Here is a 26,136-nt window from a genome sequence, read left to right on the forward strand (position 1 = left end):
CATGCTGTTGCAAATGACAAGACTTCTTCCTTGTGACCAAATAATATTTGTGTGTGTGTGTGTGTGTGTGTGTGTATCACATTTTTTTATCCATTCATCTGTCTACAGACACAGGTTGACTCTATATCTTGACTACTGTGAATAATGCTGCAATGAACATAGGAATGCAGTTATCTCTTAGAGATACCAATTTTATTTCCTTTGGATACATGCCCATAAGTGGGACTGCTGGATCATATGGTAGTTCTGTTTTTAGTTTTTTTAAGAACCTCTATATACCCTTTTCCATATGGTTGTTCCAATTAATTTACATTCATACCAGTGTACGAGGTTTCCTGCCTTTAGTTGTAAAACCACTTTAAAGCTCTTTGGATAATAAAGCTCACTATTATTCTAAAGAAGAGAATAAAACAAAAAGTAAATGACCAGAGTGACAGTCAGGGAGGGGTGGCTGGCCGAAAGGCCAACACTGAAGAAACCCCTATGTATTTAGGCACTGAGGACACGGTCCTTCCTGAACATCACAGATGAGGTAAGATGAGAGTAGGCGTTGCTGGATGTATGTATATGTGGCTAGGCCTGAAGGGTGGTACACCTTGGTGAAGATTACTGAGAGGTTACTGAGTGCTGTAATGATACTACAACAGTACCGTAAGTGCCACATTTAATGGAAGAAAACTAGAGAACAAATGGGTCAACTATCATTTTACAGACTACTGGGCCTACCCCTCACTTAAAAATAAGGAAAGTGAGGCCTTAAAAGTTTAAGTGATTCGCCCAGGTCCATAAAGTAGGTTAGAGGCAAAGCTAGCCTAAAACCCTGTTTCTTAACTCCCTGTCCAGTACTAAAACCTTGACCAATGAGGGTGTTGCTGCTTGGGAGCCCACTTAACCTCCTTCAGTAATGTTGGAAAAATATGGTCCCAGGAGCCACACAGCCTTGACTGGAACAGGTCAGTGGTCATCAGCTGATATTTAGATGCCTGTGGGAAACCTAAAGCAACTTCATCCCAAAGGTCTATTGAAATGTTCAGGCCAATTAATGCCACCACACTTCACATCCTTGTCATATGTGCAAAACTGTACTCTCAAACCCTCATGCCCATGCTGCTCAGAGCTCCCCCTCCTTGACCTTACTCCCCTTTCCTCTCTAACCTCTTACTGGACCCTCTGCAACTTGTTGCATGACAGGACTAACACTTGACAACATCGTGCCTACCTCACAGACCTTGGCCTTAACCAAAACCCAAGGGCCCGCTTCCCCACTGGATGCTGTGCAGTCTCCTGGGCACCCCACCTCGAAGTTGGGAATAAGGTCATCCTATTCCTCACTCACTCCCTATTTGTACATCTAACACACTGCCCTTCTATATTTATATAAAATCCAGACTCCTTTAACTCCTGTCATCTGGTTACATCTCTTTCTACTCCCTCTTTGTTTTTGTAACCTATCAGCCTCCAGGTAACTCCTTCTCATTTGCTAAAGATTTTAGTATCTGACTCATAGCCTCTGTCCCACCCAGGCCTTGCCATTATTTAGGATAATTTCAAAGTCCTATGTGGGTGACAAGACCCACAATTCCTATACTTATCAACAAATGAACTTAACCTGCTCTTTACTCATGCACACAGTGAACACCTTCAACCTTCTCAAGACTCAGAACTTCTCTGGCTAGGAAATCTTCAACTCCTGGCACAGTGGCTTCAAAGGGAGAAATTCACTCTCTCACCTTCCACTCACTTCCAAAAGTACAGCAATGGACCCCCACCACTCTTTTGAAACAGTTCTCTCCCAAAGTCATCATGCATTCCTCTGCATCCAGTGGACACTGTCTGGTCTCTCCCTGCTGGGTCTGATGCTATTATCACTCCCTCCTGGAAATCCTCTGCTCCCTTTGCTTCTGAGGCACTTCTCTACCACAGCTCTCCTGCCACCTCTTTGACCATTTATTTACTGTCTGCTGTCTCCTATATGGCACTCCTCTTCTTAAACCTGCTTGTTAAAAGGTCCACTCTACATTAGGTGAACTCATCTACTCTCATGGTTTGAGCTACCACTCAATTTTGATGACTTCAATACTTGATGACCCTCCAGCTTTAGATTCTTAGATCAAATTGGGTATTTCACAGGTGCCTCAAAGTCAATTTGTACCAAACTTAATACCTAATGCTTTGTCTCCTATATACCTTATTTTACCCCACCTGCTTCTCCTAAACTCAATCTCTTTCACACTCTCTCTCTTTCCCCTCCACCCCCTCAGAAGCCCAATATAGAGAACTAAGCATCATCCTTGGCTCTGTCTTAACGCAACCTTCACCCCTGGTCAATCACCAAGTCCTGAAAATGTTATCTCCTTTACTTCTTGAATGTGTCACAAACTCTTTAACCCTGTTGCCATGCCCTTGCCTAAGTCCTCATTATATCTCAGCTAGAAATCACGACAGCCTCATAATTAGTCTCCCTACTTCTAGTTTTACCTCCATCATCTCCAGCCTTCACCCAGCCCACAGAATTATCTTGCTAAAACATAAACCTGTCCTTATCACTGCCCTGTTTAAAACCACTCCATGGCTCCTTGAGGCCTAGAAGACAAACTCAAAGCTTCCTAACCAGCCAGTTCCATCTTGTGGGATCTAGTTTCTGCCCACCCCTCCAGCCTCACTTTTCACCTTATAATTTATGCTCCCACCACCCTGTCTATGATCTCCAAGTACCATGCTTTGCTCTCACTGGCCTGTCTCCAGCATTGCACTTAGCATAATGAATTATAACTTAGTTCATATTTCTGTCTTCCCCAACAGACCATAAACCGGCTCCCTGGGGAAGCAACTGAATCTTAGTCATCTTTATATCTCCAGCATTTAATAAAGTGGTTGGCATATATTTAGCATTCAATTAATGCTGATGAATGAATGGATACATTTAGAAACTTCCTATTAAAAGGCATGACTGTCTACCTACTACCTACTATGTCACTAAAGGACCTAACAGTATAGCGTTCTCAGGCAATCAATCGGTCAAGTGTCCAGTGGCGGGATTTGGCTGTTTGAGAGAAATTGTTTTATTCCCATACACCTTACACTTGAATGCAAAACTGATTAGGATTTTTCACAGCAATGCGGTTATGTTCTTAATAATCATCACACTCACCACAATCTTAAAAGCAGTACTGAGTGCAACTGGTCCCTTTTAACATAGTTTAACATCTTTGTGTGTTACTCTCTGTTAATGAAATTTACATTTCTCACTGTTACTAATGTGTTTTGTTTTATCCCCAGCTCACACAAATGAATAGATGGTTCAAAAGTGCTCATTACAGTATAAACATAGTAATGAATATAGCAACAAAAATCCTAGACCTCACAATAATGTTTTAAATACAAACAGTGAATCTCACTCTAGTACAAGTAAAAAATGTGAATATGCAACTGGGATGGTTTCTCACAAGTGAAGTTGGTCCCAGCAGCTGCCAAGGAATATATTGGACAATTATTCCATTTGCCAGTGTGTTTCTGTCACAAATTCTTATCAAAGAGCAGCTAGAAGCGTCAAAGATTTCATAACATTTTCAAACTACATTTCAAAATGTGCACAGCAATGTCCCTATTAAACTTCCTGAATTGTTCCAAAACAAGTACAAAATAATGCTTTCTGGAATGAAATTGACTCATTTTGTCATTAAGGGCAGAAAGAGACCAAAACTACAGAAGCATTACTCAAAGTTATATTCCTGAGACAAAACAAATAAAGATTATTCTATTTCTAAGAAACTGATAAAGCCAGTCACAAGGTTAATGACAAATCACATGCTCAGAGGAAAATTGGACTATGCAAGTATTGGCAAAATTATTAATGGCTCTATCAAACATTACATATCAACGGCATGCAATGTGGAAGAATTACAATCACATATGTACACTAGCATGTATTTTGCCTTATAGTTAAGTGAAATCAATGATATGCAGAGTATGCATATCAACTAGCATATTAGTGGAACATATTTGAGGGATAAGTACTTAAAAACTCTTGGCTCTATGTGTTACCAAGAACCCAATCTACGGAAGAGACTTTTCATGAGTTAACATTTCTTTTGTAGGCAATAATATAAATTGGAAAAGGTTCACTAGGATCAGTGCTGATGAAATAACCAGCTATGTTTGCAGCAAGGAAGAAGGTGTGACACAAATAAAAGTGTTACCTTTATGCCAAAACACCCACTTCTTTATTCACCAAAACAGATGACACACAACAATATGGTTTCTAATCTTAATGTGGTGTTGTAGAAAATAGTTTCAAGTGTGAATATAATCAGATCTGAGTATATGTTTTCTCAGCATGTTCTGCAAAGAAATGGGCAGAGGGCATTAGACTGATTGTTCCCCCAGAAGCACTGTGGTTGTCATCAAGGGTGCTCATGCAGACTTTTGAAATGATGAATGAGACTGGAACATTCCTGTTCCACACAGATAATGTCAGGAAGGAGCAGTTCCATAGCTTCAAGTGGCAAATGTCGGCAATGCAGTTAGTATCTGGATATTCCTGATCCTCTCATCCAGAACCCAAACATGTTTATGTTGAACACTGAGAGTAAGTATAGAGCTTCTTTGAGAAGACTGAACAGCAAGTTTGAAGATGTGCTTAGAGACTTGTAGACTTCGTACGTGATGAAACCCTGACTCTGATTTTCAGGTGGAAATCTTGCCACTATTTCTAGACAGTTTCAATCTGAATTATCCAAACTTTCCAAACTGATGGAACCATCATACATTTACTGCTATTCTTGACAGACTCTAATTATAACGAAGTATTTTCTATTTTGGTAAAATAATGAAGAAGGAAAAAACACTAGATAAGGAACCCATCATATAGCTAAATATTAGATATTTTACTTCAGAATTATACTATCTTTCACTGATATGAGAAACGTTTACTATTAATTTTCAAGCATGCTTTTTAAAAAAAAACACTTCATTGAGGTATGAGTAACATGAAAAAAGCTATACATATTTAATGTACACAATTCAAATAGTTTGGGGTATACACTCGTGAAACCATTACCACCATGAAGGAAAGACAAATATATCCATCACCTCCCAAAGTTTCCCCCATCTCATTTATCAAACAAGTTTTTCATTATTAAAATTTTTTTACTTCTTAAAAATTTACCTCAAATTATGGTCTACTCGTACATAAAGCAGTGTCTAGGTGGTCTGCAGTTGCTAAAAGTCTGAGAAACATCATGATGGCACATAAATACTCTCTACAATATTCTGTGTGGTCCTTGGACAATTTTCTTCTTCATAGGTCTAAAGGTCCTGGAACGTTCACCATGTAATTATTTTCCTTTCTTGCCATAAGCAAATGGGATCAGCAATCTATTGTTTTCTATTTTTCTTACATATAACAAGATCCAGAAGATACATGCATAGCAACAAAAAAGGACACTGTGTGATTACAAAATTCCTATGATAAATCTTTATTCAGAAATATGGTTATTTGCTGATTAATGAATGTATTCAAGAAAGCCTGCTCAATGGAACTGCCTCAAATAAGGTAACAGATTTATGGACGGATGTGATCCTGGACCAACATCTCTGCCCCAGAAGAGGAAAAATAAAAGAACTCCAAACATCTCTCAGAAGCAGTTACCAGGTCGTGCTCACAGAGCTTACCTGTGGGTTGTAGGCAAACCCCTCTGGGCCCACTCCCTTCAAACAAGGGGTCACACTAACTTGTTGGCTCCTAATCCCTCTGACTTTTGACATAATACTCCTTCAGCAAAGAGCTGCAAACAGTGCAGGTAATACCCAATTGCTGTTAGGCACTGCCTTACGTGGACCAATATTTGGAAAGTTTCTGCATATTGTAATTTCCAAAAAATAAGCCTAGCAGACATGGGAATCTCTCTATATCCAAAATTTCCAACTCTATGTAATAAGCTAAACTGTCCATTGAATTATACTATGATTAAACACACCTTGTATAAGGACCACCTAACTAGCAGTTTTCCAAGTTTGTATTTGACTTTATGTATCAGAAATCCAACTACAATGGCTTAATTGATAAAGGTTGTTTTTCTCATGTAACCCACATTCCAGAAGAGGGCTGGGGCAGCTGCTCAAAGAAGTCATTATGGCAAGGACCTAGACTTCTAATTTCCTCCCTGCCATTCTTCCCACATGGTTTGTGTTCTCATAGTTGCAAGATGGTTATTCTAACCCTAGGTGTTGTATCCAGGCAGAATGTATCCTTAGGTGTTGTATACCAGGCAGAAGGGGGAAAGGGTCAAGGCCAAGGGCAAAAGACATGCCCCAGCTTTTCATTTTTACCAGGAAAAATAGCATTTCAGAGCTCCACCCAGTAAACTTCCACTCACAACCCGCTGGTCAGACCTGGTGACACAGCCACCCCCACTCTGCACAAGAGTCTGGAAGGTATTTTTATCTGGGCACATTGTTGCCCTAAACAAAACCGGGGTCCTTTAAATAAGGAATAATAAAAGCATGGATACTGAGTAGGCAAGGAGCAGAGGCTGCCACAGGATAAAGAACATTTAAAGTTTTTGCTAAGTTCTACAAGTCAAAAACCATCAACTTAAACCTCAAACTGTCTACTAACTTCAGTTTTTTTCCCTTCAAGAAATAGTTCTAAGTTCCCGATCGTTTGCCATCAAACTTACTCTTCACAATTGACTTATGTTACCCATATTTCCCCAAAAGGATTGATCACACACTCTATTATAAAAAAACTACTTTAGCAACAACCTCAAAGAGCATTTGAAAAGAGGACATAAAGATATACCAGCTCCTCAGCAACCTCTGAGGGAATCAAGCTAACCCTCTAGCATTGCTCTGTTCAACAGAGTGTGTTTCCTGCCAATTCCACATAAGAAATATATTTGTGCCCTTTTTAAAAGCCAGGATGGCCTCCAAAGCAAATCAGGGAGTAAGAAGGAAAAATGGAAATGCAAAATAAAAACAAATCCATCCCCCACCTCCTTGCTCTACCCCATTAACTGAATCACCTGGAGGTCTCCAAAGTAAATTAGAGACAAGTCTTCCAATTAATTAAGTGTAGCACAATTATCACAGGACTTGATAATTACAACACACCTGCTCTCACAGGCACTGAGGGCAGTCCCCTGGTCTAGATTGCTTCATCTAGGTATGAAGCAATCTTTATTTCAGAATCTTTATTTCTGAATAAAGATTTATCATAGGAATTTTGTAATCACACAATGTCCTTTTTTGTTGCTATGCATATATCTTCTGGATCTTGTTATATGTAAGAAAAATAGAAAATAATAGATTGCTGATTCCATTTGCTTATGGCAAGAAAGAAAAATAATTACATGTTTCAGCCATGCACTGTACCTATCTCAAAAAGTGATGTAGAACAAGACACTGATGTAGAAGACAAGAGAAAGACAGTTTCTCCAAGTCTCATACTGAATAGACAATTCAATGCAATTTCCCTGCTTTCACAAGGGAACACTAAACAATGCATCTTTAGAAATGGGAATATTAGGCCAGGCACAGTGGCTCATGCCTGTAATCCCAACATTTTGGGAGGCCAAGGTGGGTGGATCACCTGAGGTCGGGAGTTTGAGATGAGACTCACCAACATGGAGAAACCTCGTCTCTAATAAAAATACAAAATTAGCCAGGCATGGTGGCGGGCGCCTGTAATCCCAGCTACTCGGGAGGCTGGGGCAGGAGAATCACTTGAACCCGGGAGTAGGAGGTTGCGGTGAGCCCAGATCGTGCCATTGCACTCCAGCCTGAGCAACAAGAGTGAAATTCTGTCTCAAAAAAAAAAAGAAAGAAAGAAATGGGAATATTAGACTTTGCCTACCAGGAACTGTAAGACTCAGCAGAGAATTTTACAGGTATACTTCCCTCCTGCTGAGTGTCAGCAGTAAGAAGGAAAGAACACCCACCTAGAAGCAGCACAACCTGGGGACTTGTTCCAGCCCTGACATGCTTGCACAAGTCACTTCATCCCCCACCCCCATCTTGATTTTCACATCTATAAAATTACAGCATTGGACCAAGTTAAGATATCTGTGTTGTTTTTCCCTCAACGGTGGGCCAAATGGTCTGAAACATCTAAGTGTGAAGCCTGAATGATCTCAAAAATTTTAATGAGTTGAGAGAATCCACACTTGGCACACGAATACTAATTAGAGTGACAAAGCTTGAGTCAAAGGCACAAAAAGTGCTTACTCACACTGATCTCCTTTGTAAATTATTATGCAAATGTTCCGGTTCCATAATATAACATTAGGAGAATTAAACTGTAACAGCTGAAAATGAAATGCCTGTAATTAATTATGTTCACCTTCAACTGTAATGACAGACCTGGGCCTGCTAATAGCAAGGTGTCACATAATAGTGATCCTTAAGAGGGGGCTTTGTCCTTACTGACCTACCAGATTGTGTGGGTATCCTAATTCCTAATTTAAATGGAAAAAGTATGCTACCAACCTTTCCCAGGCTTAACTCCAGCATCAAGCAGTCTGCATTTGTTCCAATGGGCCATACGTTGGGACCCCAAGGGAACACGAGGTTATTTCCTCTCTAATATTCTATGAGTCTAAACCAGTGATTCTCAAACTTTGATGTACCTATGAATTACCTGAGAAACATATTAAAAATGCAAATTCCTAAGCCTCACTCCAGAGGCTGTGGTTCAGTAGATTGGGAGTGCATCCCAGAAATGAATATTTTTAACAAGCACAGGAAGTGGTTCTGATGCAGGTAATCCAAAATCCATACTTGGAAACACACTGGCAACTCAAAAGTGGCTGGGTCCTAGAAGCAGAAAAAGGCCAGGGTTTTCCTTATTTGGTTAAAAACAGCACAGTCAAGAATTAAATTCCAAGCCAGCATAGTGCATATGTAAGTCCTTGCTAATGAGGAAGACTGAGGTGGCTCAGGCATAAATGGAACAATGCATATTTCCAGATCAACACAAAGAGGTGAATGGCCCACCACCCACATTTGCTGGAATGCCGCTGTGTAAAACAGCAGCATCATTCATCCAACAGGTGAGAAACAGCAGGGGCAAATGAATCATTCATCCAACAGGTGAAAAACAGCAAAGGCAGAGGCTCTGCAGAATCATGCAAACCTGACCAGGATTTATGCAGCATCCAACAGTTAATTTAAATTTAAAAAAAAAAAAAAAAAAGCTTGTCTCCTTTCTGCTTTTACTTGTCTAAAGCTTCTGGAATTTCCTGAGGACTTATTTTCCTAGAAGAAAATCTCACCCGCTCAAATCATACCACCTATTAGTAAGCCTGGCACAATGATTTTCAAGCGGAAAGATTCAAAGTTCTTTACTGAGAATCCTAAATCCTCTTCCAGAGGAGTATGTTGAAGGGTAGCTGAATATGCCATCCCAAAATATGCCACTTTGGCATAAGGATTATTTGGAGTTGAAGGCAACTGGGAAGATGCAGATATAAAAGAAGCTCTCTGCCATCCTCCTATCTGCAAAGGAGTCTAGGAAGGACAAAGGCTGATCACCAGCCTGGAGAGGGCACCAGAGGAATGAATCTACACAACAAACTTTCTAACTTAGCTTTATCTACCAGGAGTTTCCCATGTATTTTATTTGTCTTCCCACAGTTTGCCACGCCTAGAGACTCAAGGTCCTTTCCCTTTCTGCAGTCATTTATCTAAATATTTACTGTTCTTTGTTGAAAATGCTGTAAAGCCAGAGTACTAAGCCACCTCTTTGAGATCTATTCACTTCTCTGGTATCTCCCATATACATATAACACATATGTGTTAACTTCTTGCTTTTCTCTTGTTGGTTTTTTTGGGGGGTGAAGGGAATCTGCTTTTTATTTGTTTTTTTTGTTTGTTTGTTTGGAGACAAGGTCTCACCCTGTTGCTCAGGCTGGAGTGTAGCGACATGATCATAGCTCTCTGTATCCTTAAACTCCTGGGCTCAAGCAATCCTCTCACCTCAGTCCCCCAAGCAGCTAGGACTACAGGCACAGGCCATCACACTTGGCTAAGACTCTTGCTCTGTTGCCCAAGCTGTAGTGCCATGCTGTGATCATAACTCACCATAACCTCAAACTCCTGGCCTCAACTGATCCTCCTGCCTTGGACTTCCAAAGTGCTGGGATTACATGTTTGAGCCACCTTGCCCAGCTTATTCTTCTCCTCTTAATCTACCTTTTGTTACAAGGGTCCCAGCCCAGAATTCAGAAAGGTAAAGAGAACATTTTTTTTCTTCCCCTACAATGTGTAAATCATCTTTCTCTCCAGAGTTCTACCATCAGAGTAGCCTCATCAATCCCTTTCCTACCCATCTTGAGGATATGAACCTTCCCGATTCTTAGACACAATTTCCATTTCCAGAAGCTTATCCACTCCATAAGCTTCTAGCTGTGATAACTTTTAATGAGACAGGTAATTGTTTGCGATAAACAGTCACCTCCTCTGGGTTAGTTAGGGGACTGGAACTCCCAGCAAGACTCTTATCATCCCTGCTCTCCAATTTTCCCCCTTGAGGCACCAGCTATTTAAAAAGGAATCCAGGAAGGACAAAGGCTGATCACCAGAGATTACGTTAGAACCTTATCAGCCTGGAGAGGGCATCAGAGAATCTACACAACAAACTTTCTAACTAAGCTTTATCTACCATGAGTTTCCCATGTAAGATAAGCCAGTGCTCCTGACATTGCAAGGTTTAGATCTCTGTGACTCCAAGATGGAGACAATTCAGAGAGCAATTCTACCTCCTCCTCCATAATCCCTGCTTTACAACTAGGAAAACTAAAATAGGCCCATGCTATTTCCTTCATTTAATAAATTAAAGTATTGGCCGGCCACAGTGGTTTACGCCTGTAATCCCAACACTTTGGGAGGCTGAGGTGGGTGGATCACCTGAGGTTGGAAATTCGAGACCAGCCTGACTAACATGGAGAAACTTCATCTCTACTAAAAATATAAAAATAGCCAGGCATGGTGGCGCACACCTGTAATCCCAGCTACTTGGGGGAATGAGGCAGGAGAATCACTTGAACCCAGGAGGTGGAGGTTGCAGTGAGCTGAGATTGTGCCATTGCACTCCAGCCTGGGCAATAACAGCAAAATTCCATCTCAAAAATAAAATAAAATAAAATAAAATAAAATAAAATAAAATAAAATAAAATAAAATAAAATAAAACAAAACAAAACATTAAAGTGTTATGGGACCTTGACTCTAACTGTCCCAAATATGAGAACGCTAGGGTCCCAAGGAGGTGAAATTGCAAGTTTGTGAATACCTTCACTGGGACGCAAACTCCTTGGAGGTAAGGACTTTGTTTGGTTCCCTACTATATCCCTAGTACCTAGAGCAATGCTTGGCACATGGCAGGTGCTTAGTAAATATTTGTAGAATGAATGTATGCACAAAAGAAAACACAGAGAAAAGCTAGTCTCAGCATCTCCATAGCCTCTCTAAGCGCCAGATCTAAGGCACATCCCCTCAATTCTCCATCTACCCAAGGCCTATTGCAGAGGTGTTTTAGAGCCTATGTCCATATATCTGCCCAACTCCACTTCAGTGAGGTCACACTGGGAGTTTGAATGATGATATTTTCATCATGGCCAATTTCAAAATGATGAAAATTTTGATCATCATTTTCAATATGATGATATGAAAATATCACCACGCCTGGCTTTTTTTAGAGCCTACGAAAATCACAAACCACTACAAATTTGGGTTTTCTTAGAGAGAGCCTGATGTTAAACATTTACCAGCACACCACTGCCCTTAAGACTTACAATGTCTCTTTTCTGTGAACATAAAGGCAGGAAAAAATTAAGCTCAGCAAGTGCCAACTTATTTTGTAAAAATACCTATTCACACTAATTTTCTAATTCGGGTTTTTTGCAGGTCACTATAGAAGAGATTGCACTGAAAACTGAAGGGACTCCTTTGTGAGGACATTTCCCATTTGCCAAAAGTTACAGTTTATGAAACTTAACAGACCAAGGACAAAGATCTCAAAACAGAGGTGAATGGAAGGCTGAGGAGATACGCCTTAGGCGCAGACCACTGGGAAAGTATGGAGATTCTGAGAGTGGCCCTTTGAAATTGAGTAGTATAGAATCATATACTTTGATTTTGACTGTAAATTATACTTTTTATTTTATTTTTAAACAGGTTTGTGGCATTTATTATGTGCCAAGCTCTATTTGCTTAGCAAATATTCATTCATTCTAGCTACAAATACCACACACACACAAGTGTTCAATATCACCCAGACAAAGGAACCCTTACTGACTCCTATCCTTTTGCCCATGACAAAACAGAAACATAAATCTTCTCACCATCAGAGCCCAGTTAATGGCTCTGGGCCTGGTAATGGTAAGAAACCTGAGCTGGAGCTGAGGTCCACCAGACCATGGATGAGTTGGGCTTGGGCTTGACTAGGCTTCCATAAGGCCATATACTAAATTTGGCACCCTGGTATATATCCCTTCAAATTTATAATTGTAGAGTTTAATGGAGTAAGACAGAACCCAAGGGGGAGGTAGCAGTGTTGCCTTGGGCCTCTTTTTGAAGAGGTAGAGAAGAATAGATGAGCAAAACCTCTTAAATCTTTTTAGCTATGTAACAATGATGATAATAAAGATAAAACAAACTACACAGCTGGTTTCATTTATGCTTTTAGATATTATACCACTGATAAGAAATTATCTTTCAGACACTGAGCTCAGTATTGACAATAAATAACAAAAACTTCTATTTGCTTAGCAAATAGACTAGAGCCTGGCACATAATAAATGCCACAAACCTGTTTAAAAATAAAACAAAAAGTATAATTTACAGTCAAAATCAAAGTATATGATTCTATACTACTCAATTCCAAAGGGCCACTCTCAAGAGATGCTCTTGACAGGAGCAACTGCTCATGATATTTTCGGGGTTTTTTTGTTGTTAAAGATGAGTTCTTGCTGTGTCGCCCAGGCTGGAGTGCAGTGGTGCGTAGCTCACTGCAGCTTCCAATCCTAAGCTCAAGCGATCCTCTCATTTCAGCCTTCCAAGTAGCTGAGACTACAGGTACACACCATACCTGACTTTTTTCAGGGACATGGTCTCACTATGTTTCCCAGTCTAAGTCTGAAACTCCTGGCCTCAAGTGATCCTGCTTCAGCCTCCCAAAGCACTCAGATTACAAGCATGTGCCACCATGCCTGGCATGTTCATGCTATCTTAGAGCCAAAACAGACGGGCACCAGAATGAAACTAAAATACAGTACTGAGTGGTGGCATATACCTGTACTACCAGCTACTTGGGAGGCTGAGGTTGGAGGACCACTTAAGCCCAGGAGTTGGAGACTGTAGTGAGTTATGATTGCACCACTGCACTCCAGCCTGGATGACAGAGAGAGACCTTGTCTCTAAAAAAATAAAATTAAAATTAAAAAATGATACTAGTGCTCCAGGTAGAAATGTTAAAACAAAGAGAAAACAATATTCTACTTGATTAATTGAAGCTATCAAGCAGACCAACTTGAATTTTCTTCTGAAGCAACTTGAATTTTGGGACTCAAGCATGTAAAGCCATTATTTACTTTTCTTTCCAATCTATAATCTATATCCTTCTACTTTATCTGAAAATCAATTAAAATAATTATTGAGCACATATGTGTTAGCACTGTGCCAGGTGCTATAGGGAAAAAGAAAGTATGAAGCACCCCATCCTTAGGAATAAGACTTACTTAGATGAAGAAAGGAGGCCTTCCCTGCAGGGGTGACAGCACAAAGAGAGAAAAAAAGTAAGATTCAAGCTGAGAAAGAGCTATTTCTTACTATCAGAAATCATCTTGTCTATCAAAGGTAGAGCCAAGCAGACAAACTTAAACCAAATACAGTAGGCATGGGAAGCCTACTGTAATTACATTACATTAAGTAATATGACCAAATAAACTGAAGTTAGAGATGACAGTAGTGGATGTGGAGGAAGCAGAGATTATGAGTTTCTATTTGAACTTAGTGTTTGCCACTGTAAAGAGTTGAACTGTGTCCTCACAAAAAGATATGTTCATGTAATAACCCCTCCTCTACCTCACCCTCTCCCCTGGCCAGCTGCGAATACGACCTTTTTTAGAAACAATCTTTGCAGATGTAGTAATCAAGATGAGGTCGCATTGCATTAGGGTGAGCCCTTCCTTATAAGAAGAGAGAACACACAGAGACAGATGAGACATATGGAAGAAGCCCATGTGACCACAGAGGCAGGGACTGGAGTGATGCAGCTACAAGCCAAGGAAGGCCAAGGATGCAGGCAGCCGCCAAAAGCTAGGACTGAGGCATGAACAGACTCCCTCAGAGCCTTCAGAAGGAACCAGCCCTGCCGGCAGCTTGATTTCAGACTTCTGGTCTCTGGAACTGTGAGAAAATACATTTCTGCTGTTTTAAGCCATTTGGTTTGTAGGAGTTTGTTACAGCAGTCTTAGGAAACTAATGCGGCCAAGCTCTATGCTGTAGAATAGGTAGAAATGAGAAAAATAAGATATAAAGTTTCATTATTTCTTGATTTAGTTATTAAAATTACCATACCATTTTATGCCTTCTTTTAAGGTGGCTCACCACCCTCAAATCATTTTAATTAACACTGACAATTTGGCATATCGAGAATATTGATCTCTAACTCTCTTTTTTTTTTAAATTTATTTATTTTTTATTGATAATTCTTGGGTGTTTCTCACACAGGGGGATTTGGCAGGGTCATAGGACAATAGTGGAGGGAAGGTCAGCAGATAAACAAGTGAACAAAGGTCTCTGGTTTTCCTAGGCAGAGGGCCCTGCAGCCTTCCGCAGTGTTTGTGTCCCTGGGTACTTGAGATTAGGGAGTGGTGATGACTCTTAACGAGCATGCTGCCTTCAAGCATCTGTTTAACAAAGCACATCTTGCACCGCCCTTAATCCATTTAACCCTGAGTGGACACAGCACATGTTTCAGAGAGCACAGGGTTGGGGGTAAGGTCACAGATCAACAGGATCCCAAGGCAGAAGAAGTTTTCTTAGTACAGAACAAAATGAAAAGTCTCCCATGTCTACTTCTTTCTACACAGACACGGCAACCATCCGATTTCTCAATCTTTTCCCCAACTTTCCCGCCTTTCTATTCCACAAAGCCGCCATTGTCATCCTGGCCTGTTCTCAATGAGCTGTTGGGCACACCTCCCAGACGGGGTGGTGGCCGGGCAGAGGGGCTCCTCACTTCCCAGTAGGGGCGGCCGGGCAGAGGCGCCCATCACCTCCCGGGCGGGGCGGCTGGCCGGGCGGGGGGCTGACCCCCCCACCTCCCTCCCGGGCGGGGCGGCTGGCCAGGCGGGGGCTGACCCCCCCACCTCCCTCCCGGATGGGGCGGCTGGCCTGGCAGAGGGGCTCCTCACTTCCCAGTAGGGGCGGCCGGGCAGAGGCGCCCCTCACCTCCCGGACGGGGCGGCTGGCCGGGTTGGGGGCTGACCCCCCCCAACCTCCCTCCCGGACGGGGCGGCTGGCCGGGCGGGGGGCTGACCCCCCCACCTCCCTCCCGGATGGGGCGGCTGGCCTGGCAGAGGGGCTCCTCACTTCCCAGTAGGGGCGGCCAGGCAGAGGCGCCCCTCACCTCCCGGACGGGGCGGCTGGCCAGGCGGGGGGCTGACCCCCCCACCTCCCTCCCGGACGGGGCGGCTGGCCAGGCGGGGGCTGACCCCCCCACCTCCCTCCCGGATGGGGCGGCTGGCCTGGCAGAGGGGCTCCTCACTTCCCAGTAGGGGTGGCCGGGCAGAGGCGCCCCTCACCTCCCGGACGGGGCGGCTGGCCGGGTTGGGGGCTGACCCCCCCACCTCCCTCCCGGACGGGGCGGCTGGCCGGGCGGGGGGCTGACCCCCCCACCTCCCTCCCGGACGGGGCGGCTAGCCTGGCAGGGGGCTGACCCCCCCACCTCCCTCCCGGACGGGGTGGCTGCCGGGCGGAGACACTCCTCACTTCCCAGACGGGGCGGCTGCCGGGCGGAGGGGCTCCTCACTTCTCAGACGGGGCGGTTGCCGGGCAGAGGGTCTCCTCACTTCTCAGAGGGGGCGGCAGGCAGAGATGCTCCTCACCTCCCAGACAGGGTCGCGGCCGGGCAGAGGTGCTCCTCACATCCCAGACGGGGCGGCAGGGCAGAGGCGCTCCCCACATCTCAGACGATGGGCGGCCGGGCAGAGACGCTCCTCACTTCCTAGATGTGATGGCGGCCGGGAAGAGGTGCTCCTCACTTCCTAGGTGGGATGGCGGCCGGGCGGAGACGCTCCTCACTTTCCAGACTGGGCAGCCAGGCAGAGGGGCTCCTCACATCCCAGATGATGGGCGGCCAGGCAGAGACGCTCCTCACTTCCCAGACGGGGTGGTGGCCGGGCAGAGGCTGCAATCTTTCTGCAATCTCGGCACTTTGGGAGGCCAAGGCAGGCGGCTGGGAGGTGGAGGTTGTAGCGAGCCGAGATCACGCCACTGCACTCCAGCCTGGGCACCATTGAGCACTGAGTGAACGAGACTCCGTCTGCAATCCCCGCACCTCGGGAGGCCGAGGCTGGCGGATCACTTGCAGTTAGGGGTTGGAGACCGGCCTGGCCAACATAGCGAAACCCGGTCTCCACCAAAACCAGTCAGGCGTGGCGGCGCCAGCCTGCAATCGCAGGTACTCGGCAGGCTGAGTCAGGAGAATCAGGCAGGGAGGTTGCAGTGAGCCGAGATGGCAGCAGTACAGTCCAGCTTCGGCTCAGCATGAGAGGGAGACCGTGGAAAGAGAGGGAGAGGGAGACCGTGGGGAGAGGGAGAGGGAGACCATGGGGAGAGGGAGAGGGAGACCGTGGGGAGAGGAAGAGGGGGAGGGGGAGGGGGAGGGCGATCTCTAACTCACTTGCTTCTCCCACCAGCCAATACACATGCAACTGAAACACACATTGAATTCAAGCATTTGTGCAACATAAGATTTGACACTATATTAAAACCAGTATAAATACAATGAACAGTTGGGCCAAGCTTTCAAAGAACTGCCATAATTTCCTGGTTTTTAAAAATTAATTCAAAAGAAATACTTTTAATAAATACCACACTGTCTTTCCCCTCTACTTTTCACCTTAATAAACATATTTACTTTAAAAGGCAGTTTTCAAAAAGAGAACATTAGGCTAGATACTCACACATAATTCTATATCACAACAAATACAACTCTGTAAAAGCTTATTTTCCCTTTTTTTAATGGATGATGAGGGTGGTAGAGCATTTAATGATATGGTATGGACACTTAATATATTAAAGCAGACACTAAAAACATTAATAATATTTGCCAGTCGCTGAGCTAGGTACTTTATGTTAGGCCATATCCTCCCAATGTTATGATGCAAATATATTTAAAAACTGAAGCTCAGTTAAATTACTTACCCTTTACTCTTCCACAATTATTGGTAAAACTATAAACTATCAAAGCCTTTCTGAAAAACTTTCCAGTATTAAAAGCTTCGATAGGAAATATTTAAAATATTCAAGCAAAACTCTCTTCCTAGAAAACTACTCCATTGAAAAAGATACTTAAATTTTTGTAATTAAAGGAGATTCATCACAACAATATTTTCAGAATTTTTTATATTATTATTTTTTTTTAGAGACAAGATCTCGCTTTGTTGTCCAGGCTGGAGTGCAGTGGCATGATCGTAGCTCACTGTAGCCTGGAACCTCTGGGTTCAAGCAATCCTCCCACCTCAGCCTCTTGAGTAGCTGGGACTACAGACATACATATGCCACCACACCCAGCTAGTATTTTCATTTTTTGTACAGACAGGGTCTCACAAAGTTTCCTAGACAGGTCTCACAAAGTTTCCTAGACTAGTCTCAAATTCCTGGCCTCAAGCCATCATCCTGCCTCAGCCTGTGCTGGGATTAAAGGTGAAAGCTAACCCAACTGGCCTTCATGACAATACTGTTTATAATGGTCCAACCAAGAAATATCTTCAATGTCAAAAAATATAAGAATGGTTACATGGTTACATAATTGAATCTCATATAAATATATAAATTGATACTTTCAAAGAATGTTATTCATGAGCATTTTATCTTATTATTACGTGAATATTCTTTTCTTCTTTGTAACTTTCAATGTTCTCTAAATTCTCTACTATTTTATAATTAGTAAAAAGTTATTTTTAAGATAATCAAAGCTGACTCAAGGACAAAACACTAGCAAAGGGCAGAACCAGGACTTAAACTCAGAGCTGGCTGATTCCAAATCCCTTTGATCCACTACCCCACACAGGTCTTAGGTAAAGTCCCAGGAACATCATCCTCAGAAGAGGAATAAGCCAGGCATGGTGGCACCTGCCTATAATCTCAGCTACTCCACAGGCTGAGGCCAGAGGATCCAAGTTTGAATCTAGCCTGGGCAACATGGGAAGATCCTGTCTCTATAAAGAGAGAGAGAGGAATAGATTTGTGTGACCAAGTACTTTCTCACAAAATAAACTATTATGACTATGGGATTTCACAATTTAAAACACTGCCTCTATCTCTGGTTGTGGTTTCTTCGTTTGCTGGTACAACCTATATAAAAGACAGAGTTCAGTCTGGAAAAATGCATTATGCTGAAATGCAACACAAACCAAGAGAGTCATTACCCAAAGACAGATTGCCCAGGAAATCAGTAATGAGAAAAGAGGCCAGAGCTCCCACTCCAAGCATGTCAGCTAGAAAATAACTCATCAACAGTTCCATGACCCTGAGGAAAAGGAAATTATATCTGTGCTGTATCCTTAATGAAGCTGGCAATTCTGATTCTCTTTTGCATGCCTTTCTCCATAAAAGTGACAGGAATCTAGGACACAACATGATACAGCAGACACAAAACCACACTATAAAAAACTGTTCCTGAAAGCAAGGGCATTCCTTTCATTTAATTTAAATATTTCACACAACTTAGTCTATACACATTTACAAAACACTTACTGTGTGCAAGAGATTAAGACTTATCTCTCAAACACACACATTAAGGCCACTTTGCAAATGAAGTTTTAAGTCTATGAATGCCTCACCCTCCACCTTTCACCATCCCTTCTGCTATCTGCAAGTGCCATTGCAACAATGCAGCTGATAGCAAATTGCACTCATTGCCTGAGAGATCATGAGAAACATCCAAATATTTTTTTTTTTTTTTTTTTTTTTTTGAGACGGAGTCTCGCTCTGTCGCCCAGGCCGGACTGCGGACTGCAGTGGCGCAATCTCGGCTCACTGCAAGCTCTGCTTCCCGGGTTCACGCCATTCTCCTGCCTCAGCCCCAAATATTATTTTTAAAAAATTATTTGGCCATAGCCTAGTTTCTTTTGGACTTAATTCAATTTATCTCAGGTCCTGAGCCTGAGATATAGCTTGACTAATCAGCTAATAATCCATCAAGGCCTCAGTGTCTGCATCTTTTCTGGCAGCTCTCCATCTCTATTCCCTATTATTGTTGAGAAAACCCAATTAGCTTAGTGATGTGCATGAGGCCACTCTCTTAACCAGCAAGTGACCCTATCTGTCACTGCTCCCAAGGGTGACCAATGCAAGAAGTTGTCAAAATTCTAAGTTATCATCTGAAAACCTTACCATTCATCACTGTCTCTGGGGACCATATTAGTGAAAACATTCTCATCTGATAAAACTTATTATCTTTATTTTATTGCTTCATTTTCATGAAACCATAATGTCAGTGAATATTGTGTAGACCAACTAGAGTAACACACAATGATAAACTAATTTAAAATGTTCCTCTTCATGTACAGAGTGGTGATTAAGTCTTCCCCTTTTTTTTTCAAACAAGATTTACGGTGACTTTGCCAAGTTACTTGGTATCCTTAAAACCCTTCAGTAAGATTGACCACTACCATGTCAAGATAATACCGCCTTAAAATAATTCTGCAGTTACAGATGCACCCCAGAGAGGGAAAACACAGGTGTCCTTCCTTTCAATTATTCTTGAATTATACAAATAATACATATAAGCAAAGAAAGGAACTTAGGTTCCTAAGCAAAGACAGAGAGTGAAAGGAACAGCTGAAGAATGAGAGGAGATAGCCAGTGAACAAAGCAGAGAAGAGCTTTTATGGACAGAGGAAGAGCAAAAGCAAATGCAAGAAGACTGGAAAGAGAATAATGTACCCTGGGAGCCAAGCGTAATTTGGAACTCCTGGAGTGTAAAGAGACGAGCTAGGGAGGGAAACAGGAGCCATGTAGGGGATGTCACTACAAGAAGCCAGAGGGAATGAGGAGCCAGGGCAGGGTTTCAAAGAGTAAAGAGACATGATCAGAGTTGTTGATTGCAGAGTAATTGGGGAGGGCTAAAATGGAAGTATAAAATTTAAGGCTGCTCTTCCAAGAAGTATGACTATGAAAGGAAGAAGAAAGAAAGCACTGTGTGGGTGGGGGAGAAGGGGTCAAGGAGCAAGAGACCTTGAAGATGAAAGAATAAAGGACATACCTGTTGGACGATAAGGACACTGGTGAGTTTGTAAGTGTGGGAATAAGAACTTGAGAGCACTACCCACTAGAGACCTCCTTCCTGTTCTAGAGGAGCACTGAAAGCTACCTCCTACCTAAAACACCAAGTCTTCTAGTCCCTAGCTACTCAAAATATAGCCTGTGGACCAGCAGCATCAACATCAGCTAGACATTTGCAGGAAATGCAGAATCCTGGACTCCATCGTAGACCTCCTGGGCATGCTCTACCTTACCTCCATTGTGTAGTAGTAGCTTACCCTTGGTAATCAGGACCAATCATACCAGCCAGTCCAGCAACCCCCTGCTTTGCCTGTTGACTGAGAGGCATGAACCCAAAGGGGCTGGATGACAGTTTCAGCTTCCAGTTCAAGGGAATCACTATCCCTCCCTTTGGAACTAAGTCTCTAAGGATGGAAAACAACAATTTTCCTAGTGGATCACTAGGAGTGACAGTAAAGGGAGCCACTCCTGTTTCTACCCCTTGATTCCTGGACCTGTATTGTGTAACAAGATGCCTAGCAGATTCTTTTACACATTGATGTATGAGAAGTGCCAGATCAACTCTGAAGAACTTTAAGGAATTACAGATAATAAGAAAGGAACCAGAAGCCTGGAGACAAGGAAAAGGGGAACAAGAAAAATATAGCAAAATGCATATTGGTCAACCTAATGCTAGAATGAATGATCAAGAGGAAGGCAAGAAGTAGTCACTAGGAGCCAGCTTGGATACACTAGAATAAATCATGTAGATGTAGATTCTCCTTATTTTCTTACATCAATAAGCCTAAATGATGCAGTAGACATAGTATATCTGGCTTTTGGTAATGTATCTGACAAAATGTATTAAAGTCTTGACAAGGTGTTATCAAGATAAGGAAATATGGGCTGGGTGAGAGTTCTATTGAATGCATTCATAACTGGCTTAATGATCATCCCCAAATGGTTTTGACTAGTAAATTAAAATCATCCTAGATTCTAGCAGGTCTCCAATGGCAAGATTTCCAACCTTCTCTTCCTGACCGTTAAACTCTTTTTTAAAAATTATAATTTAGATGAAATACAAAAGATACAAAGGTAGTATCACTTAGAGCAATAATGTTATATAGTATAATCATGTTCCCCCACCAAAAAAATTAACAAGTTGATACAAAAAATTAAAACATGTTAGTTAAATTTAGATAAATTAAAATAAAATCTAGATAAATTTAAATGATAAAATCTAGGTAAATTTAAATGATGAAGATAAAGTGCTAATCTTGGCTCCTAAATTGAATAAAAACAAGGATGTTTAAAAAAAAAAAAAAGAAGAAGCCTAACAGCAGTAAGCCAAATAAAGGCTTGAGAATGGTAGTAGAGGTTAATTTCAATTAGTCAACATATGGAAGTTAACATGAAGGATAATATGTGAATTCAGTTAAACCTACATTCTTCATCCACAACAACATAAGACTCATGTTAAGATTACAAGTTGGCCATGGAGATTTCATGTAGCCTTTGCATTCATGCCTTGAAACAGTACACAAATTAAAGATGTCTGATATTAATAATAAGAATGCCTAATAAGCAGACCAAATGGAAGTACAGTTACTTTTAAAGCTGCCCACGTACTCCCGTTGTCCATATTCTAACAAGAGATTTGCATGCTAAATCAGTAACAATTATCCCAAAGCCAAACAGCCCTCAATTGGTCCTTCTGATCACCCACTTGCCCCCTCTGTTCTCTTTTGTGCCCAGCTGAAAACAACCTTTGACCCACCATTCCAGAAGAAGGCAGAACACAGCATGACTGAAATGGCTGAAGGGGAGAGGAGCCTGCAACATGAGGAGTGGCAGATGATGAGTTCCCTGACATGGTGCACATGGTCTGAAGTTTCCAATTCTATCTTAGTGAAAGTTTTGTGAATTTTTAAAAAACTGCCAAGAACAGAATTAGAACAGAAGTAGAAAAAAAGAAAGCTTCAGACAATTCTATCATGTTTCTGACAGCCAAGTATTCCAGCTGCTCCTCCACAGTGAGATATCAGGTTGTGAGGCAGAGAACAAGTGCCTGAAGAGAATGGGAAGCGGTCACCTAACCCCAACACTACCTTTATATTAATAACAAGATGTACCTGAAAGGCAAATAGAACTCCCCTCCTGCCTTTTTGAATAAATAATTTAGTTATTACTTATAGAATATGGAATGATATGAAAATGGTTGGCAGAAGGAGAACTAGGAAATTCAATGATCTTTATATTAATACCCAACACTACCTTTATATTAATAACAAGATGTACCCAAAAGGCAAATAGAACTCCCCTCCTGCCTTTTTGAATAAATAATTTAGTTATTACTTATAGGATATGGAATGATATGGAAATGGTTGGCAGAAGCAGAACTAGGAACTCCAATGATCTTAGGTATAAAATTTTTAGGAAAGTTTCTATAAGTCAGATTACGGAAGGGGCCCTGCCTATTCATATTAAAGTCTCTATATTTTTCCATTTTACCTTCAGCCCTTAAGCAACACTAGTTATTAAAAGATGGGTAGGACTGGTACCAATAACCCCAAAATTAAATTTCTACTTCTTCTCTGTCCCAACCATTCTCTTTGCAAGAATAAGCTGGCTTTGGGCAATGCTATTACTCCCCTAGGAACAACAACAAAAAAGTCTTCTAATGACCTTAGCACTTATCTTAAACAGCTTTTTCCCTTCCCAACTCTCCTGGCACTATAACCTGGGAGTATCCCTGATGCTCACCTGTCATCTCCACGGACACTAAGAAGTTGTTCAGGCATCCCTTAGATCAATGTTAAAGTGTGAAGCACCGGCATCAAGGTCACCTAGCATGTTCATTAAAAATATAGACTCCAGGCCTGGCACGGTGGCTCACACCTGTAATCCCAGCACTCTGGGAAGCCAAGGAAGGCAGATAATTTGAGGTCAGGAGTTCGAGACCAGCCTGGCCAATATGTTGAAAGCCTGTTTCTACCAAAAATACAAAAAAAAAAAAAAATTAGCCAGACGTGGTGGTGCATGTCTGTAATCCCAGCTACTTGGGAAGCTGAGGTGGAGGGATCGCTTGAACCCAGGAGGCAGAGGTTGCAGTGAGCCGAGATTGTGCCACTGCACTCCAGCCTGGGCAACAAAGTGAGACTCTGTCTCAAAGAAAACGAAAAAATAGACTCCAAGACCCCATGTCAAACCCACTAAAACAGAATTTCTGTTGGTGAAACTCAATAATTTGCATTTTGACAAGTGATTTTTATGCATACTAGGTTTAAGAATCTCTGCCTTGCAAGTACAATCACAAAAGAGGCAGGGTGATTTACCAGCACTCAACCCACCATTCAGCAGCAAGGCCAGGCTAGAATTTACCCTTCCCAAGCACCTGGTGTGATCCTTACCTGCTAGAGCCCATTGATTTGTTATTAACAAGAAAAATGATTTGACACTCTTCAGGGAAAAGTTCCATCCAATCTTAAGAATAATAGCATCCTGCAGAGAAACAGGCAGTTAGCCCTCTAGTCCCTAATCCTGCCTTTCACCTGGCAGACGCAGAAAGCTTCATCTTAAGGCTTCTGGTCATTTGTAGATTCATTGCTACTAAAGACTTGCAACCTTGGGAGCAGGCCACAGAAACAACAGGTCAAATACAAAAGGTGCTATTCTCATCAATCAATGAAAGGGTCTGAAAACTGAGATTTGATTATTTTGTCTCTGCTGGAGTCTCGCTTGAACTCTGTGTTCCTGGAAATTGAATTAACACTCAGGTTGACTTCAGAGAGTTATTCTTTCCTTCCCATTTAGCAGCCTCTGAAAGTGTTTCTTGCCCTAAGAAACTACACAGGAAGCCCCAACAAAAAGTAGTTGTAATTAAAGGTGCAAATGAGCACACAAGGGATGCCCAGGGAACCAGGGAGTAAATATCACATATTCTATACAAGGCAGAGATGTCCTCAAAAATTCTTGCTCAGAAAATACAAAGTCACTCCTAATACAAGGCACTCTCTCAATTAGAGATGGTCCCAACCTATGAGAGTTCCACTTTCAATTTTTCAACTTTACCATGGTGCAAAAGCAATATATTTTCAGTACAGTATTTAATAAACTACATGAGGTATTCAACACTTCATTATAAAATAGGCCTTGTGTTAGATGATTTTCTCCAACTGTTGGCTAATGTAAGTGTTCTGAGCTCATTTAAAGTAGTCTAGGCTAAGCTATGATATTTGGCAGTTTAGGTGTACCAAATGCATTTTCAGCTTATACTTTCAACTTACAATGGATTTACTGGGACACCTCATCATAAGTCAAGGAGCATCTGTACTTTATTCGAAACAAATAACAAATTATTTGGAACTTTGTTTGGAGAAGGCACGATGACCTGAAATTATCTCTGTCCATGCTACTTTGGGCTTCCTGTAGAGGTCATCTGATGCAGTACGTTTTAAAAAGAAGCAAATTATTCATCATTCCTGGGTGTGTGAGTTCACAACTGTAAGTTTTATAAGCTCTCTTTAAAAATCCATATATTATTATGTCATGGCATTTGTGAATGGCAACCAGACAAACAGGGAGAAGAAAGAAAAACAGTCCTAAAAAAATGAGAATGATTACTTGTGGCTTAGCATAATATTTTCAGTGGCTACATCATATGTGAGGTTTTTTTTTTTAAGTGTGGCATCTTACACAGGTTTAAGTAATGATGATGGGCCTCCAAAAAACTGTATGAGATGGCTCCAAACTGCTTCCAGCCAAAGCAGATGCTGATGTTGAAGAGGCATATGGAGACTTTGAACAAAACTGCATCATGAATTTTAAGTAGGGGGAAAAATGCTTCTAAATTAACATAGTGTCTGGTCATTGTGTTACAGGAAAGGGGTCCAATCCAGACCCCAAGAGAGGATTCTTGGGTCTCGTGCAAGGAAGAATTCAGGACGAATCCCATAGGGTGAAGTGAAAGCAAGTTTATTAGGAAAATAAAAGAATAAAAGGATGGCTACTCCATAGACAGAGCAGCCCCAAGGGCTGCTGGTTGCCCATTTTTATGGTTATTTCTTGATGATATGCTAAACAAGGGGTGGGTTATTCATGCCTTCCCTTTTTAGACCACATATGGTAACTTCCTGATGTTGCCATGGCATTTGTAAACTGTCATGGCACTGGTGGGAGTGTAGCAGTGAATACGGCCAGAGGTCACTCTCGTTGTCATCTTGGTTTTGGTGGGTTTTGGCTGGCTTTTTTACTGCAACCTGTTTTATCAGCAAGGTCTTTATGACCTGTATCTTGTGCTGACCTCCCATCTCATCCTATAAGTTAGAATTCCTTAACTGTCTGGGAATGCAGCCCGGCAGATTTCAGCCTTATTTTACCCAGCTTCTGTTCAAGATGGAGTTGCTCTGGTTCACATGCTTTTGATAATCAGAAGCAGAAAATTCTACCAAGGCATCAAGATATAATAGATATAAAGTAAGATATCAGATCAAGATGTAAATGTTTCACAGGTGTAGTCAAGAGGTATAAGACTCAAACCTTCACCAACCTGGAGGATATAATGGAATAGATAGAGAACTGTGGGTGCACTGTGAGTCCTACTTACCCAGGAAGGAAGGGTGGGGGTGCTCATCAAAGCCCTCAGG

The 26,136-nt window shown here is 41.9% G+C and overlaps 1 protein-coding gene across 3 annotated transcripts in view, besides 6 other annotated features; it reads right to left on the reverse strand.

The window, feature by feature from the left end:
* Window positions 1-26,136, reverse strand: part of GPR176 (G protein-coupled receptor 176) — a 121,259-nt gene that overhangs the window by 79,417 nt on the left and 15,706 nt on the right. The gene's annotated exons all lie outside the window — the stretch shown is intronic.
* Window positions 5,557-6,227: an enhancer, noted in NCBI's record as "H3K27ac-H3K4me1 hESC enhancer chr15:40176182-40176852 (GRCh37/hg19 assembly coordinates)". NCBI's record gives its function as "activates a minimal SCP1, AML or CMV promoter by ChIP-STARR-seq in primed H9 embryonic stem cells {active_cell/tissue: H9 hESC(primed)}" and the evidence as "EXISTENCE:reporter gene assay evidence [ECO:0000049][PMID:30033119]".
* Window positions 6,228-6,897: an enhancer, noted in NCBI's record as "H3K27ac-H3K4me1 hESC enhancer chr15:40176853-40177522 (GRCh37/hg19 assembly coordinates)". NCBI's record gives its function as "activates a minimal SCP1, AML or CMV promoter by ChIP-STARR-seq in naive and primed H9 embryonic stem cells {active_cell/tissue: H9 hESC(naive and primed)}" and the evidence as "EXISTENCE:reporter gene assay evidence [ECO:0000049][PMID:30033119]".
* Window positions 7,177-7,709: an enhancer, noted in NCBI's record as "NANOG-H3K27ac-H3K4me1 hESC enhancer chr15:40177802-40178334 (GRCh37/hg19 assembly coordinates)". NCBI's record gives its function as "activates a minimal SCP1, AML or CMV promoter by ChIP-STARR-seq in primed H9 embryonic stem cells {active_cell/tissue: H9 hESC(primed)}" and the evidence as "EXISTENCE:reporter gene assay evidence [ECO:0000049][PMID:30033119]".
* Window positions 7,710-8,241: an enhancer, noted in NCBI's record as "NANOG-H3K27ac-H3K4me1 hESC enhancer chr15:40178335-40178866 (GRCh37/hg19 assembly coordinates)". NCBI's record gives its function as "activates a minimal SCP1, AML or CMV promoter by ChIP-STARR-seq in primed H9 embryonic stem cells {active_cell/tissue: H9 hESC(primed)}" and the evidence as "EXISTENCE:reporter gene assay evidence [ECO:0000049][PMID:30033119]".
* Window positions 8,774-9,304: an enhancer, noted in NCBI's record as "OCT4-NANOG hESC enhancer chr15:40179399-40179929 (GRCh37/hg19 assembly coordinates)". NCBI's record gives its function as "activates a minimal SCP1, AML or CMV promoter by ChIP-STARR-seq in primed H9 embryonic stem cells {active_cell/tissue: H9 hESC(primed)}" and the evidence as "EXISTENCE:reporter gene assay evidence [ECO:0000049][PMID:30033119]".
* Window positions 16,182-16,707: an enhancer, noted in NCBI's record as "H3K27ac-H3K4me1 hESC enhancer chr15:40186807-40187332 (GRCh37/hg19 assembly coordinates)". NCBI's record gives its function as "activates a minimal SCP1, AML or CMV promoter by ChIP-STARR-seq in primed H9 embryonic stem cells {active_cell/tissue: H9 hESC(primed)}" and the evidence as "EXISTENCE:reporter gene assay evidence [ECO:0000049][PMID:30033119]".

Source organism: Homo sapiens, chromosome 15 (assembly GCF_000001405.40).
Source record: "Homo sapiens chromosome 15, GRCh38.p14 Primary Assembly".
In the NCBI taxonomy this organism is placed as follows: domain Eukaryota; kingdom Metazoa; phylum Chordata; class Mammalia; order Primates; family Hominidae; genus Homo; species Homo sapiens.